Source organism: Homo sapiens, chromosome 1, assembly GCF_000001405.40.
Source record: "Homo sapiens chromosome 1, GRCh38.p14 Primary Assembly".
NCBI lineage: Eukaryota > Metazoa > Chordata > Mammalia > Primates > Hominidae > Homo > Homo sapiens.
In genome coordinates, this window is record NC_000001.11 from 107320736 (window position 1) to 107339113 (window position 18378).

Sequence of the window (18378 nt, forward strand, 5' to 3'; positions counted from 1 at the left end):
CTCTTTTAATTTTCTGTCAATGTCATCATATCTCAGTAAGTTATGTTAATAGCCATCAAATCACTAATCTCCTAAAAGAGCACGAGTGTTATGAAATAAGGAGAACAATTGATTTTTTCCCCTCTTTGGTATCTACAGTCATTTGGTGTAGATTCTCATTTGAAATGATTTGTTTACCCATTGATTTCAATAAATTGTTATGCTGCTGAAAATATCACTAAGAGTAGAGTCAAATGAAGGACGAAACTGTCATTCTGATCAACTTCCTCTGATCATCTCCGGTGTAAATTGGGAATTGTTCTCAATCAGCTCAAATGTCATGTTATCAGGGAGACCTTCTCTGACTTCCCAAAATAAAATTACAATCACCATTGCTTCCTTTAATTGGCTTTATTTTCTCCATACAAGTTGTCATCGTGTAACATTATAACACATTATGCTTGTTTGTTTAGTGCCTGTCCCCCAACTAGGATGGAAGTGCCACAGGAAGCAAGGACTTGGATTTGTTTATTGCTGTATCTTGAGAGCCAAGCTGAGTGCCTTAAATATGGCAATCAATAACACATTGTTGCATGTATGAATCTTTACTCTCATTTTTTTAGGTGCCTGAAGCACCAGATCTGTGCCAAGCAATGAAGAACTTGATACAAATGTAGACATTTGCCCTGAGCTGGCTGATCCACTCAGCCTCAATGGAAGGGTGCCCACTGAGAACAGACCTGGTGCTTTCTGTAGCTATGCCTTCATTAAAGAACTAAAACTGGGTTGTATAGTGCTGTTTGGCCTCCTCATGTTTACAATATCCAGTGATACAAAGCAGAGAATCTTTAAGGATGCCCTCCAGGATACGACTTCTGTAGAATATGAACAGGAGTTACTAAACTAGAAAGAGACTCCGTGGTCACATAAACCTATGTAACTAGGTATTATGTGAAGCTAAACAAGGTTCTTAATTTCAAGGTATATCAGATTATGATAACATTCATTAGGACTCTCCAAGACAAGAAGATTAGGCTGTGTTTCCTGAACTTATTTGGTCTTAGACATTTCCTCTCTACCAGCCAATCCTGTTTCTACAACAGGGCTACAACAGAGGGAACTCCAGTGACTTGGGAATTCAGCAAGCCAGGGAAGGGGTAAGAGGCACCAGTCTCATCACTGCCTCTTACTGACTTTATTATGTGACCTTGGACAAATTACTTAACACCTCTGTGCCTCAATTTCCTCTTCTGTAAGGTAGGGATGAAAAGGATTACCCAGGAAAATGTACGTAGTGTCCAGCACGCAAGTGCTAACTAAATGGTGGTTATTGCCAAGACTTTATATTAAGTATAGGCATGAGAGCCTTTTACATAGATTTCTTCAACCATATTTTTTAAAATAGGTTTGTTAGTATTGACCAATTTCCAGAAGCAGCCTAATGTGTCATCTCATGTGGCCCCAGTGCCCTATCCCTATCTGAGAAGCTCTGCACACCTGTGCTGAAGGCAAACAAATGTTATCTTTCAACACAACTTACTACAAACATCTGATAACTCACTTTGGTGGATCCCACAGCGCCTTTCCCCTTGTTTCCATACCCCTGACCTCAGATGAAGACACTTTTTTCAGGAGGAAGATGGCAGCATCCAAGTTAATGATAGTGCAGATGGCTACATGCTGACAGATTTTGAAGTGACCATATTTTTTCAGTAAATTTCAAATGAAGGTGTGATTTGTGTAAATCTGACCTCTTCCTGTAAAATGTGCATTTACATATATTTAGAATTTATAAATCCTGACAGATTCCACAATATTTATAGCCCTCCATAAAAAGCCTTTGCCAGTCTGTAGAGCTTTGCATTTGGCTCTCTGGCATGCTTAAGAGAATTTAAATAATAATAAATTTGGTGATTTATTCCACCTGGAACAGAAACTTATTTCCCCCCTCCCCTGGCTCATTTTGAAGGGGATACTATAAATAGTGCCACAGACGCTGGGATCAGGACTAGGGAATTGAAATTTGAGAGAGAAGTACAGAAACATTTTCATTATCACTGATTCCTTGAGTGTATTTTTAAAACAGTTCTGTTCCTCAAATAATGTACCTTCTCTTCTTTCTCCTGCCCTATCACAATTATACTTGAATCTCCAAAACCTGTTGCCAACTTTAGGATTCGGTTACATTAATGGGAAAGAGAGAGTGAGAGTATTAGCTGACTAGGTAGGAGAAAGTTGCCTCTAGGGAGACCAAAGCAATTCTCCCATGTTCATCTTATATTTCATAGGAGTCAGCTAGTAACTGAGTGTCAGTGTCTAAAGTGTAAATTCATTATCTGAGACCTCGCTCCTGTATCCTACAGGTATGATGAAAAGCTCACAGTATATGGAAAAAAAAAAAAAGGAAAGAAAGAAAGAAACCTAATTGTAATTACAAAAGGAAGCCCAAGGACAATGTCCGAGGATCAATTCTTTTCACCCAGCCATGCTCATAATAACTGAGTACAGAATAAGAAACACCTGAATAGTCAAGTCCTAATGATACTACTTGTTTTCTTAAAAACAAAATCAACAAAAATCTGGTAACTTGTCATTTGCCATGGAATCTACTGATGAAAGCTGAGAGTAGCCATTTAGTGTAGCATAAGCAGTGTTGTAACTTGTAATATAACTAGGAGATTTATTTCTAGCTTCTTGTTTGAATGTCTGTAAAGGAAGTAGCATTTGTTAAAGGTAGAATAATAATAACTAACATCCATGAAGAACTGCCTGTGGGCAGGCACAGAGTAACAAACACATCAAGTGGCTGTGGTTTGATGTGCAACAGCCTCCTAACTGAGTAGTACGTTTTCTTGTCCTGATAACTTGGAGCACACTCCCAGCCCCAAGACTTTCCTGAACAATCCTTTTATCTCTACCTAATAGGCTGGCAGGTATTTGGACCAAGCCCCAGAGCCTTTAGGGTACCACATTTTAATAATTGGTGGTGAACAAAGTAAACGTTGTAAAACCAGACATTATGAAGCAAGGACCCAGTTAAGTATGACGGATTTCAGGGAAAGCCAAAAAAAAAGGCTGAATGTTGTATGGGGGTATTGTCTCCCCTACAGAACACAGGTATCTATGGTTCATGGCTCATTCTAAAGCTTTGCTTGAAAAATGACTTTTTAAAGAAGTGTACTCTTAAAGAATGTCCTTCAGGCAGGGAGGAATTTCCCTTGCTTTTCTATAGCATCTTTGTAAGAGGAAGCGGAGGTATTGAGCTGTTAGACAGTTGCTCGGTGCCTTCGTGCTTCTGTGACCACATTATGGGTCTAACACATATGGGATAAATAAACTGTTTTCATTTCTTAAAGCACATGGAAGGAAACAAGACAAGAAAATTACCATATTGCTTTTTTTTTTTAAAAGCTATTAAAGAGGAGAATCCAGTTAGGGCAAATAAAAATGATTACTGAAAACAGATTTTTTTTTTCCTTTTCTAGCCTCTTACTGAGCAACAGCAATATGGCAAGACTTGTGGCAAACCAGTGTTTTGATGCACGCTCTTTTGTTCTTCTTCCATAGGGCAATCCCTACATGTGCAATAATGAGTGTGATGCGAGTACCCCTGAGCTGGCACACCCCCCTGAGCTGATGTTTGATTTTGAAGGAAGACATCCCTCCACATTTTGGCAGTCTGCCACTTGGAAGGAGTATCCCAAGCCTCTCCAGGTTAACATCACTCTGTCTTGGAGCAAAACCATTGAGCTAACAGACAACATAGTTATTACCTTTGAATCTGGGCGTCCAGACCAAATGATCCTGGAGAAGTCTCTCGATTATGGACGAACATGGCAGCCCTATCAGTATTATGCCACAGACTGCTTAGATGCTTTTCACATGGATCCTAAATCCGTGAAGGATTTATCACAGCATACGGTCTTAGAAATCATTTGCACAGAAGAGTACTCAACAGGGTATACAACAAATAGCAAAATAATCCACTTTGAAATCAAAGACAGGTTCGCGTTTTTTGCTGGACCTCGCCTACGCAATATGGCTTCCCTCTACGGACAGCTGGATACAACCAAGAAACTCAGAGATTTCTTTACAGTCACAGACCTGAGGATAAGGCTGTTAAGACCAGCCGTTGGGGAAATATTTGTAGATGAGCTACACTTGGCACGCTACTTTTACGCGATCTCAGACATAAAGGTGCGAGGAAGGTAAGAGAAAATCTGTCTGCCTTCAATGGGAACGGGTGTGTCCAAAGAAAATGCCAGAGTGTCTCACAGCTGTAAAGTGACATTTGTCAATTTCTACTGCAACGTTTTCTTCAGGAACTCCACTGTAGAAGTAGGTTCTGAAGGCATTCTGAGATCCCTCATCCTCAGCAGTAATTTGTAATCCCAAACTTGCTGTCCCTGAACCTGGCATGATTCTTCAGAATTTAAATAAAAGTGAATTTTAAAAAGTAACTCCCTGAGTCGGGAGGTCCTTTAGGTCTTTAAGGCAATGAAGCCAGGGGAAGCAAAACCATTTGCCCTATAACGAACTGAAAAACTAGAAATACAACATACCATTGTTTACAAATGCAAAGCAGGGATTCAACATGGTACAGCAGTCAATTTATGTTTTGTGTAATATTGCACAAAAAAATCTGGAAACTAGAGTTATGTTTCTTTAAATTTATTAAATCAGAATCAATAGCATGTAGGAAACATTTGTTAAATTGGGACACGCTCTACTTTTCATGTTTTTGGATGTTATTATATCAAAAATATATACTAGCATTTAAAATATAGACCTGAGTTGGGCTCCCTTCATCTTGTAGATTAATCACAAATGGACAGAGTTTAAACACATTAATTAAACACAGTCAGGGATAGCTTTGGTTTTGATAATATACTAGAGACAGAATTGAGCAAATTTCCAAGAATTTTGAAGATGTTTAAATGAAAAACTTCAATAATGAGAACCAGAACCACCACATAGGGATTTTCAACCAGCTTTTTAAGTGTGGTATATTATCAAAACGACCACCTGATGGGAGTGGAAGCATGAGATAATGAGTGGGAAAAGTAAAGGTAAGAGCAGAGTATCTAGCAAAGGGAAAGGCAAGCAAAGAAATAACACCCCAGTAAAAAGGCCAAGATATCTTTAAATTGAAACATATGAGGATAAGCATATAAATAGTATATATCATGTAGGTTTCATTATTTAATGATAAAATTCAAACAGATAAGGCAGGATTGATTCAATTTATTGGCTGCCAACATCCTTTAGGCAGCCCAGTTCTCAGAAACTGGAGAAGTGTTGAAACTTTCTGGTCTGTTAGAGATTTGCCTTACCTATGTGTGCTGGGAGAAAGGTCACTGCTGTTAAGGTAAAGACCATAGTGGGAACGCAGAATGGAGTGGTGGGCTTGATCATAGTGTGGTGTCAAAGGTTTCAGAGTCTTAGCTGTGGAAAAGCAGTAGAAACTGGTGGCCATCTACTCTCAGCTTTTTCTAGCTTCATGTTCCTCATGGAAGAATCAAAAGCCTTTATCTGCGAAGCTTTTCCTAAAATTTTGACCAAGATCTTGGTGGTATATAACGAATATATCTTTAAAGCAGTATGATGTTGAACTTGTGAGTTCTAAGCTGTAGAGGATAATTCATGTATTATTAGCAGAGTACATGACAGGGCAATACAGGAGCTGTTGTCTTAAACATAAGTTTGCTATTTATAGTAATACACAGCCATTATACTTATGAACATTTTAGCAAAAGACTATTAGTTTCCAGGATCTTATTCTTGGGGAAGTATGATATATGAAAATAGTTGATATTGTTATTATTAATGATAGCTTGCCACAATGAAGTAGCAAATATTCAATTCATCTACATGAATAATGGTAAAAAATTAACAAACTAAGATGTGGATTTTAATCCTAGTGTAATCTACATTGCTCGGTAGATTCATCTAGGTCAATTTCCTTGCAGTTTAAAAAATACTTAATCTGAGCCCAAATTCCTATTGCTCCACCTCCCCATATACCTTTATTTGCCACTTGTAAATAAGGCAATCTTCTGAAGCATTTTGGTTGGGAAAAACCTATTGCTGATGCTTATTTTTGTTATTAGTATTCATTTTGTTTCCTCTAATAATTTAAAAGAAAGTGTAAAATAAACTTGAAAGCTAAAGGCATTTTTCTGCATTCTCCACTGATGTCAAGCATGCCATCTCCTAAAGGTGGTGTGTTGGAAATGTAGATTCCTTCATATCTATCACATTTCTCCCATCTCCCAGACTAGTCATTTCCTCCAACTGCATTTCAGTGGTTCTGAGGAGTTTGGAGGGCTCCTCCCTCCTTCTCTGGACTCAGCTCCACTGTCTTTTCCTGTTCACTAGTCAACTGTAAGCTGAAGAGAAGCAGCTGGGCAAATGAGAAAGGTCCAGTAGAGGTGAGCCCCTTCCATAAGGTCTTCTTCTGTCACCTCCAGACTTTGTCCAAATCCTCAGGGCAGAACTGATGCTGGCATGTACTGCACTAGGCACCAGATGGCTGGAGTATTTTTAGTCTTAGGGGAGGGACTAAAGAAGCAAGGTCTGATGGCTCGGGCGTGTCTCCAGCTTTTAAGTTATATAATGAAGATCTGCTGATGATGGAGCCAGTGAAAGGAAATGTTGAGCTATAGTCTGGTTCAGGGGCCTTTCAGCATAGAAGCTGATCTAATTATTTTACTCTTGAAAGTTTCAGTAAGATTAATGGTCTAGATTGTCTTTCTGTTATATAACAAATCATCTATAGAAGGATTAAATATTAATTGATAATCTCTAAAAGAAAGTTCTAAAGTTTCCCTTTCAAGGCTCTCATAAATGTACACTTTTCAAAATACAACTGAAGTTCTTGTTCCTTGCACCCGCCCCCACCATCCCATGAAATGATTGCAACATTTAACATGCCTTTACATGTCTATATCTGATCATGATAATGATATTTTTCTACTTGTTACTTCTATCCCCACCCCACCATAATGTGGAAATTGACATAAGTTATTTTGGAAAAGTAGAATGGAGACCAGATGTAAACATCTATAGTATAGTGGACAGAGAATTCAAAATTTTTTTACCTTGAAATCTTAAACTGTGAGACAGTTGATCTTTGCTTAAGATGACTGAGCTTGTGAGATCCAATTCTCCGTTTCTTTGTGCATATGTTTGTTTTATACTGGCTAGTGTTTTTTAATGGAAAAATAGTGTTTTGATTGACATTAGACTAATGTAGCATTTATGTTCTTTTTGGAATGTGATACATCTGATACCTATTTTACTAGTAAGAAAAAAGTGTAATCTCATCATAAAAAATTTATTCTTCTTTTGCCACATACTTATTTTGCTTCCATTTACTCCCTCTCATTGCGTATTTATTAAGATAATGAAGGAAAAAGAGGAAACATGGCTGTTGGCAATTTCAGCAGCTCCGTAGTACTTACATTGTTCAATAAACTTAATAATCTACATGGACTAATTCTGACTTATGGATGTCCTGCTTCAGTAAATCACGGTGATTTTCTCCAGTGAATAACAGACGAGTGCAGTGTGCCAGTACCTTAATTAAAGAGCGGCTCTCTTAGTCTTGATCTCATTTTAATTTACAGGGTAATACTACAATAATATCACTAATGGAAGGTACATTAAAGGGCATCAAGTAGCATTAACTGTATTAAATTATGGTACTTATGTTAATTAACTGCTGAAGCAAGATGGTTCTAATGGCCAAAAAGGTCATCTAATGCATAAATAAAATCTACTCAGATGAGGGGCAAGAGGAGAAATTAGAAGTAAATGTTTGTTCTGAACATCTTTTTATACAGACAGGGGGTTAAACTCAAAAGCTGTTAAATATAGATAATGTCCAAAATGTTTTCTTATTTACACCATTGGAAGCTTTGATTTTTAAGTATTTTGTTTCTTTGCAAGCTTTCCACAATTAAAATAATTGAAAAAGCGAGCACTGTATTTGTCAGCTGCATAGATTTTATGAAATATAAACTAAAAATTATTTATTATTTCTTTGAGGTAAACAATTTCAAAGAAATAATGTGATTTAATGTAATAATTTATAAATCTGAAAGACAAATGAATCTTTAGTAATCTACTCATTTATTTTTAAGATATGCTATCAGCCATATATCAAGGTACTGATTTTAGCCATAAGACAATGGAAATTCTATTTTAACAGTAAGAACTTGAAGAAAGTGGACTGGAAAACTCCCATCAACATCTTCAGTATTTACCCTTTAACAAAATATTCCTGAAGGTAATTATCGGTCATTTTTTCTCAATGGTCATTACACATTTCTTATCCCTTGCAGTGCCTACTCAGGCTCCATTATAGGTAGTTGACTGCCATAATAGTGAACAGTATTTTTTCCTTTTTCTACCTCCATTGTTTACCTCCAAGAAAGAAGCCTTGGAATATTAGCACAGAAGTTTCACTTCGACAAAACTTTTTGGTGCCATCTTCACTTCATGGCTGCCCCTGCTCAGAATCACACTCTCCCTGCCTAATCCCAGGACCTGCAAAGGGCCAGGACCAGAGCCACTATGACTAGGTGCCAGGAGTGAGGCAGGCCCCCTACGTCACTCTCAGGAGTCCAGCTTCTATGTGTAAACCTTATTCTTTGAATGTCACTGCCTTTATATTTGCTGTAATTAGAACAAGGTGGAGCTGACATCGTGTTCTTGAAGCACAACTTCCACATGGTTAGTGCGAAAGATGTGATGTCAGGCAAGCAAGAACACTTGGGGAAATTCAAAAGTATAAAAGCAGTAGAGCACTTTTTAAATTTCTGGAAAAATCAGTTATTCTGAAGGTTCCCTAAGTCTTTTTCCTAGCCACAACTGAAATAAATCTGAAATATTTACTTTTTACCTCTTTTGTAAGAGACATCCCACAAAAATGCTTTTAAAGCATTGAGCCTGGCCTTTATCTATTCTTTTCCAATTAGTCTCAATTATTGAGGTTGGGCTTTACTGCCACTTAACAGATTCTGCTTTTTATAACACCTTCTTCCTTTCTGTCATCCATAAATACTTATCCTCTACTCTGGGACAGATGCTGGCTTTGATGGTAGACAGACGAAGATGCACCAAGCATAGTCTCTGCTCTTAAGGAGCTGATATCCAGAAGGGACACAGACTTTATAAACAACAACGACAAAAAAAAAATGATGATAATGTGGGTTAAGTGATTTTACTGTGTGAATATTCAAAGTGCTGTGGTAGCAGAGAAGCTACTAATGTAATCTGGAAAGATTAGTAAAACCTTTGATAAAGATGTGACATGTATGATGTCTTGAAATATGGGTTTTATTGTGCCAAGCAGCCAGGAAAGAATGGATATCCTAGGCAGACAAATTATACCTAAAAACAGCACAGCATGTTAAGGAACTCCAAGCAGTAAAGAATTGATGGAGTTAAGAGTCCTGAAGATGTTCTACCATCTTCCCTTTATGGGTCTTCAGCATGTTCAGGAAGCTCTGAAGGATTCCTACCTCTTTCTCTCTGATTCTCCCATGCCATAAGAAACCCAAAATCTTATGGAGTCTCCGTATTAATTGACTACAAGTGAGGAACAGTTTTTAAGGCAATTGTAGTAAAGGCTATTCTGGTGTAACTGTGCAGACTGGAAAGCTATAACATTGCTTAATTGTGGAGCAACTATAGCTCCAAGCCCTGATGCTCAAGTGGAGAATCCAGAAAAGCTCTCCATATTCCACAGGAGCCATCATATGGCAGTGGTCTCAGATTTGCTTACAAAGTCAGTAGGACTTGTTGACCAGTCAGATTTTGGGGAAGACTTCCTAGTGAATTGGATGGTGGGGCCAAAACTAAAATGGGGAATAAATACTGAAACAGGCTTTTAGTTAATTCATGATTTAGCTAGTTATTTTGTTGTGCCATTTCAAGTAGTAGAAATTCAAGTAGAGATTCTAGTTAGGGATTTGAAAATACTTGTCTAGTGTTGTAGAGAGAGATTTGAGCTCAAATATAGGTTTGAGAATTATTACCTTATGTGTTATGGTGGACTCTTTGAGAATCGATGACATTGAGGATTTTTTTGTTCATAGGTATAAATGACCATTATAGAACATTTACAGAATCCTGTGGAATACTACTATGTAAAAGGTAATTTCTGAAGGAAATTGAGAAATAATCTGAGAAAATTCAAAGAGAAGGGAATGAGTTAATGTCATTCTAATAGTCCCCACTCATATTTAAGTAATAATCCTTTAAATTTGTATAGCATTCAGTTTACAAAATTCTTGTCAGGTACCTTATTTCCTTTAGTACTTACAGGACACTTGTGAGGCAGGTGTTGGTTAACCCCATTTTACAGAGGAGAAAACTGAGGACCAGAGGAGTGCCGTGACTTTTTCTTTAACGTCACACATAACAAAGTGGTAAAATCAGGTTTTTCACGGCAAACCTTAGGCTTTTTCCAAGCATTATGCTCTTACAGTCACACCAGCCAGAGATCAGCTCAGTATATATAGAAGACCCCAAAAATTCCCAGAGAAGCCATCTTTAAATAGCAACAATGAATCAATACATCTTATGACTCTGCCCCTCTTAGAATGTTCTGGGAGTCACACTCTCCATGGCTTTTGGCTCAGTATTTTATTACACCAGGCTGCTCTGTGTTTATCTGAACTCTAACTTCTTACTTCATTTTTATCAACTTTCAAATGTGTGATTGGGCTCATTTGTCACATTGTGTTAAGTCTAGGTGTTTTACTACTAAAATCAAATTGTGATGATAGCTTCTTATTTTTCCATGGGGAGACAAAAATAAATAAATAAGCTGTATTTTCTCAATGTTAATTTTTCTCCCATATTTCTTCATAAACTTTTATTATGTACACCTGCTTTCAACTAATGGGCATCATCAAACACTAAAACAAGTCATATATCTTAATGGATAAACTTGGAAATAGCCAACTACCTTCGCTTATTTTAAGCAAGTTCATACTTCAAGTGAGGGCAATATGTTTTTCCTTTAACTTCCACATATAAGTCCACATTCTCTCTTCTGAAACTATTTTGAATAAGTGTGCTGCCTCTTTCATATAATAAAATTTCATAAATTTTTAATCAATGATTCTCTCCACCAGGTCTTTTTTTCAAGCTAAATGGATATTAAACCATTCCACTAAAATTTAATTTACTCTCCTTTTAAAAGGCAGAATGAAGTCCAGTAAATAAGAGTATTCAAATGAAAAGCATGGTAATCATAATTAAAAATTAAAAACCAACATAAAACATTGCTACTTAACTCCAGTGGAAACATTTAGAATAAAGACTTTATCGTATGCACCCATTGTAAGTGGACAACTGAGGGACATTCTGATTTGGAGCATATTTTTAAAATCTATTAGAAAATCTTGAATTATAAAGAGAATATATGCATAAGCAGCTCATTTTCCTCTGAGGTTTGTACTATTATAAGGAGAGAATGTATCTAATAATTCCTCCATTTAAATTATGAAATTCATTAGCATGCAGAAAAACAATCCGGTTTAGGAGCTTGTCTCTTTATCCTTAATTCCCTAGTGCCATAGATTTTTTAAGCTAGTGGGTCGTTAAAGGGAAGATGTCTCTTTTTTAAGAAACATAAGGATATTTAAGCAAAATACCACAAAATGGATAAATAAAATAATTTCTTCCCTCATTTAACTTAGCATTTGTAAGGGAAGCTACATTCTAGCTACATCTGCATGCCCAAACAATGGGAGGCAGCAGTACACCAGCTTCTGCAGCCCTGTTTTTTATCCTAAATCTGTGGTCTGCATCTTTGGAATGTCTTGCTGTCTTTCTGTACCTAGGATCAGAGTTTTTTCTTAACACGTTAGGAGATGTTGGCCATTGTTTGATACTTAGTGCAAGAGTTTTTTGAGACCTATGTGATCAATGGTTCAGTAAAGAGACTATTTCCATTCATTCTCCAAATAAATACAAGAACAAATGAATTTTATCACAGTAATTTGATTGTGTGGATTGATATATTGATTCTGTTGCAATATGGGTCTATATTTTCAATTCAATAAGCCACTTTTAGAACTAAGTATATTAGTTTAACCAGAAATGACTGCACTGCATAAAAACTCATGGTTACTATTTCTACCTCCCTTTTATAGGTAGGAAAACTACATCTAAACAAGGTTAATCAATAGCAAAGGGGAAAGGAAAATTTAAAAATTACTTATGTTGGTGTATAAATTTGTTTCTCAACTCCCCTTGAAAAACATTGAAAAAAATGGATGGAAAGGCTTTGAATATGTGAAACAGGAGCCTCACAAACCCTACTGGTCCAGAAGATTATAAAAGTAGGGTAGTTACTACACTGGCTCTCTCTTGCATTGTGACTGGTACCTAAGACAACTGATATTGTGCTATAAATATATTGAGAGGATAGAGGACAAGTCATTAGGATTTTAAAATCATTATCTACCTTATTTTAGAAGGAAACATTGGCTAAGAGTCAAGAGAAATAGATTCTCACTCTGGTTGTGCTAATAATTCTTTGTCAGCTCAGAATAGGTCACAGTTACCATAATCAGAGTCTCCTCATCTACAAAATGAGATTTTTATACTATTTTACTGTTTCTCAGGATGTACTCTTCAAATAAAGTCCATGATGGTCAAAAACATTTTGGAAGTGTTCACAATACTTCCTTCTATGAGAATCACAATGTATATTCATATATTAAAGACCCTGAGGTGTCCTACAGTAAAGAAACATTTCTATTTTATTGAAGACAGAGCCTCTAGAACTTACTTAGTCAAAAAACATATATTAGTACCCATAAACGACTAGTATTCGCAGAACTCTTTAAGCTCCAACATTGTTGGACTCTTTGTAAGATTGAAGGAAATACATGAAAACATCGTGTGTGTGTGCATGTGTGTGTTTGTGTGTGTGTGTGTGTTTAAACTATTTGCAGTGCTAAAAACAGATTGATTTTTCAAAGCAAGTTCCAACTTTAGTTATCATCCTTCCTATATTACTGCTACTTTGGGTGAAAAAGTGAGACTGTCGTAGAGAAAGACTAACCTCAATGAAGAGTATCTCTTTTTTTTTTTTTTTTTAACTGTCGCTCTTATTTTTTGAACCTTGGAGTACTATGCATCCTTCTTTAAGAATTATAGGAAATTAAGTACTGTATTGGAATAAATAGGGATTTTTTTGTTTTGTTTTTAGGCTAGTGAAATTGTGATGGAAGAGTCAGCAAAGATGTGAAAAATGAAATGCCAAGTGGTACAATCTGGTGTATTTTGTAGATAAATAGAGATGCTAAAGGATTTTTATTCCTCCCATATGTAAGTGCCTCAAACTCTAATTACAGCAATGAGCTAAAATCATGTATTGAAAGAAAAATTAGATTAACCAGTATTTAATATATTCTTTTTTTTTCATTTGCTTTGGAGGATATTCTTGAAACCACAAGCTAATTTTAGTTAAATGAATCTTGCCTTTCTTTTGCTAATTAGGACTGTTAATGAATAACAAATCAGAGCCCAGTAAAACTGAACATTGTATATAGCTAAGGATATCACCTTGTCTAGGAATTGTGTTTTTGTCCTGGCCGCTTTTACTCATTTGGTGCTAACAGAATATCAGGGAAGCAAAGCTGTTATAACATATTGATGACATCCATGTGTAATTATAGATACTCCAGTGCTGCTGGGAACAGGGAACAGATGGGGGAAGGGTGGGCCAAGAGATGATGGGTGGGGGAAGTCTAAGAGGTCAGAGATTTGGCAGGTTGGAAGGAGACAGCATCATTAACTCCAGTATTGGATTTGTATAGACAGGGTGTACGCCACATAGAGTCATAGCATTGCAAAATCATTTCTTTTAGAACTGAAAAAAAAAACATAAAAATAATTTAATCTAACTCCTTTTTCAGATGTGAAACAGAATGGTTAAATGAATTAGTCAAGGATGACACTGTTGCATAACTAGAATTTAGACTCAGAGGGAACTTTCAGTTTACTCACTGATCTGCGTCCCGTGCCTACAACTAGGCCTGGCGCATATTAAAAGTTCAATAAATATTTATTGATGGAATGAGAGAATGATTGCAGAATATCCTTCTAAGCATCACGTAGAGGACCATTCTGAGGACGGTTTTCCCATTAGGTATGCTATGGCCACCTCTAAATATTCCCCACACAAGACTGCAAGAGAATTGGAGCTTAGCCCATTGTTTTTGGCTATGTCACTTCATCCAATCAACCAGATCGCAAAGCTTCAGGCTTTAACCAATAGTCCAAACTTAAAGAATAAAATATATCTACTTCAGATAACAGAGTAAGCTATGTACTTGGGTTAAATGAATACCACTCCACTCAAATACACACAATTTCTTTTATTATTTGTTTGATTGGTCCTTTTAAGATCAGAAATTGTGATCCTTAATCCCTTTCCTGGATGAAGAGAAGTCCATGAAAAGGAATGAACTGCTCTCATTCTCAAGCAATATTTAGTAAAATCGCAATATCACTATACATCCACGTCCCAAAGTTGTCTTCAAATGATGTTTGCTTCTTGAGTTTACCAACCAAAGGGACTTAAAATGCTATTTAAAAACCTTACAACTTGTAAATGATGCCTTTACATATTGATAGGTTCAAAGCTGGGGTTTCAAAGAGTTTGAGCTGAGGAGACATGGAAACAGGCAGTGGCCAAACTCAACTATATACATGTATCTGCTGAAACTTTTATGAACATATGTCTTTATGAAAATAATTGAAGTTCATTATATACTCTTAAGTGGCAAAATAGGATTAAAAATATTAATAGCGTGAGGCTAATTATGAGAAGGAGGAAAAAAGAGAGAATGAGACAACACAAATATAGTTGGCTAATAGTGGTGGAATTGTGAGTAATTTTTATCTAATTAGTTATGATTTTCTATTTTTTTTCATTTTACTCATTGTATCGTCAGAAAAAAATAGTTTTTAAAATTAAGTTAAAATTCAGCAAAGTTGCAGGATACAAAAGCAACACACAAACATCAGCAGTGCTTCTATACACTAACAATGAAGGTCCAACAGGAAATTAAGAAAACAATTCCATTTACAATAGCGTAAAAATAATAAAATGGTTAAGAATAAACTTAACCAAGATCCAAAAGCCTTGTACACTAAAAACTGCAAAACAGTGCTGAAACTAATTAAAGAAGACACAAATAAATGGGAAGACATCCTATGTTCATGGATTGGAAGTCAATGTTGCTAAGATGTTAATACTACCCAAAGCTATGTACAGATTTAATAGAATCTCTATCAAAATCCCATTGACGATATTTTCCGAAATAGAAAACTTCATGCTAAAATTCATATAGAATTTTAAGGGACCTGGAAATAGCCAAAATAACATTGAAAAAGAAGAATAAAGTTAGTGGCGTCACTGGGGTTTTTATGTTGTTGTTCTTTTTTTTTTTTTAATTTCAAAACTTACTACAAAGTCACAGTAGTCAAAACTGTGTGGTACTGACATAAAGATAGACATACGAACCAAAGAAATAGAATAGACAGTCCCAAAATAAACCCTCACATGTATGGTCAAATAATTTTCAACAACGTTGCCAAGACCATCGAGTGAGGAAAAGACAGTCTTTTCAACAAATGATGTTGGGAAAACTGAACAGTCACATGCAAGAAAAACAAACCAAAAAAGGAAGTTGGACCCTTACCTTACACCATATACAAAAACTAATTCAAAATGCATTAAAGACCTAAATGTAAGAGCTAAAACTATGAAATGTTTAGAAAAAAACAAAGGAAGAAAACTTCATGACATTAAATCTGGCAATAATTTCTTGGATATAACATCAAAAGCACAGTCAACAAAAGCAAAAATGGGTAAGTTGAACGTCATCAAAATTAACAACTTTTGTGCATCAAAGGACACTGTCAACAAAGTGAAAAAGCAACCCACAGAATGGGTGGGAATATTTGTAAATCATATATTTGATAAGGGACTTTTATCCAGAATGTATAAATTACTCTTACAATTCAACAACAAAATAATCCTAATTAAAAAATGAGCAAAGGACTTAAATAAACATTTCTCCAAAGAAGATATATAAAAATGGTCAATAAACATAGGCAAAGATGCTCAAGATCATTAGTCATTAGGGACATGCAAGTCAAAACCACAATGAAATACCACTTCACACCCGTCAGAATGATTACTATTCAAAAACATAAAATAACATGGTTGGAAAGGACATGAAAAAATTGGAGGGTTTTTGCTATACTAATGAAATGGTACAGACACTGTGGAAAACAGTGTGGCGATTACTCAAAAAACTAAACATAAAATTGCCATATGATCCAGGAATTCCATTCTGGGTATATATCCAAAAGAAGTTAAAGCGGAAGCTTGAACAGATATTTGTACATCCTGTTCATAGCAGCATGGTTTGCAACAGCCAAAGGTGGAAGCCACCCAAGTATCCATCGATGGATCAGCGGAAAACCAAAATGTGGCATATACATACAGTGGAATTTTATTTAGCCACAAAAAGGAAAGAAATTTTGACACATGCTACAACATGGATGAAACTTAAAGACATTATGCTAAGTGAAATAAGCCAGTCACAAAAGGACAAATGTTACATGATATGCAACTTATATGAGTGTCCTAGAGTAAGCAAATTCATAGAAATAAAGTATAATGGTGACTGCCAGGGGCTGGGGGCAGATGAAAAAGAAGATTCATTTGTAATGAGCACAAAGTTTCAGTTAGGGAAGATAAAAAAGTTCCAGAGATGAATGATGATGATGGTTGCACAACAATGTGAAAATATTTAATGCCACAAAACTGTACATTAATAATTAAAATAGTAAATTATGTGTTATGTGTATTTTAACAACAACAACAAAAATAACTGCACAAACAATACTCCTTGACTCAGCAAAGTAAAACACAGAAATTCTGACATATATCCATGTGTCTTTCTTCTCTGTCCTTATGAAATCTTCTAGTCTTTTCCCACTTTTAATGTTATTCTTGGTTTTGAGATGGAGGAAGATGTTCAACAGGTTTCGAAGTTTGTACGGGGCTTCACAATGAGGAGTCTAGTTGGAGGAAATAGGATGTGAAGCAACAGAAAATAAGTTTTAGAGAAAGAATTTGGCCAGAACTTAACTAATCAAAGAACATTTTCTGTGTAGAGGAGCGGTGAAGCACAGAGAGCAAGGGAGCTTAAGGGGCAGATATAATAATAGTAGTGGAGGATATTTAATATCAGACTGAGTTTTTATTTCATACTGTAGGTAAGCAATTGGAACCACTATAGGCCCTTGTAAAGTGGCCTATGTTGGGGATGATGCCACTGTTAGAAAAAGACTTAAAAGAGTGTGTTACCATCTGTGCATAAAATGGTTTGGAAGAGGGATGTAATTGACTGTTGAAATAACTTTCATGAAACATGAGGGTTGTGGATAGAGAAAGGAAGAAGTAAATGTGAAAAGTAGGTTTTAATAATACAGAAAGTAGGTTTGCCCCTAACATTTGCAAGGTTGGGGAAAAAATAAAAATACAAGCCCACATACCATATGCCTAAATATGTATAAAACATAAGCTGAACTACACCACTGTTTGACTCATGTTTCCATCCTGAGTCCCATAGCTCACTCCCCATAGTGTGACAAAAGGGGCCATCATCTCTCCCCAGCTAGGTCTGCTGCTGCAAGCCTGAGCTAGAGGAAGGTAGAAGCTATGTCCTTGACCCAAGACTCTTAAGTAGTAACTGGATCTACATGAACTTGGGATGGAAACTTACCCAGGCAAGCACCTAGGAGGCCAAGCCAGGAAATTTATCCTCTTCCATGATTCACTTCTTCATTTCAGGATTTCCAGGTAGTTCTAAGCACCTCCCAAAATTACACCAAGAGTTCTTCTTCTGGTAGTAGCCAAGCATGTCTTATCATGCTGACTCTCCGGTTCACAACAACTACAAACTCTGAACTAAATATCAAAACAATTATTTGAAGGCCCTGGAGAATGACCACAGAGAATAGGGTTCTGTACTTAGAGGCAGCAGCCAAGGTCAAAACTTTAAAAAAATAATAATAATAAAACACAAAGATAAAACAAAGTAAGAAGCTTTAAAAAAAAAAAGGAAATAGGATTTTGGATGGAAAGTATATTACAAAAATATATTGTTTTTCTTTGGAAAAGTGTTTTTAAAAAAAGAAAAAAGTAAGTGGCATTTTTGTGGGAAATTGTAAAGCTTCAATAGAGCTCTTTAACAGCATAGTACAATATTCTACACTCCCAGGAAGAGCAAGTCAGTTGAGAAATCCCATCCACATTCACTTTAGAACCATTATTATTGCCCACCTGGCTGA

At 36.1% G+C, this 18378-nt stretch overlaps 1 protein-coding gene across 18 annotated transcripts in view; it reads left to right on the forward strand.

Moving 5' to 3' along the window:
- The window catches only part of NTNG1 (netrin G1), a 344836-nt gene that overhangs the window by 180648 nt on the left and 145810 nt on the right, over positions 1–18378 (forward strand). For all 18 annotated transcript variants that reach the window (XM_017000683.3, NM_001312688.2, XM_047449449.1 and 15 more), the window contains exon 3: positions 3547–4187. In XM_017000683.3, the coding sequence (XP_016856172.1) occupies positions 3547–4187 (641 nt within the window). The remainder of the gene's footprint in view (positions 1–3546; positions 4188–18378) is intronic.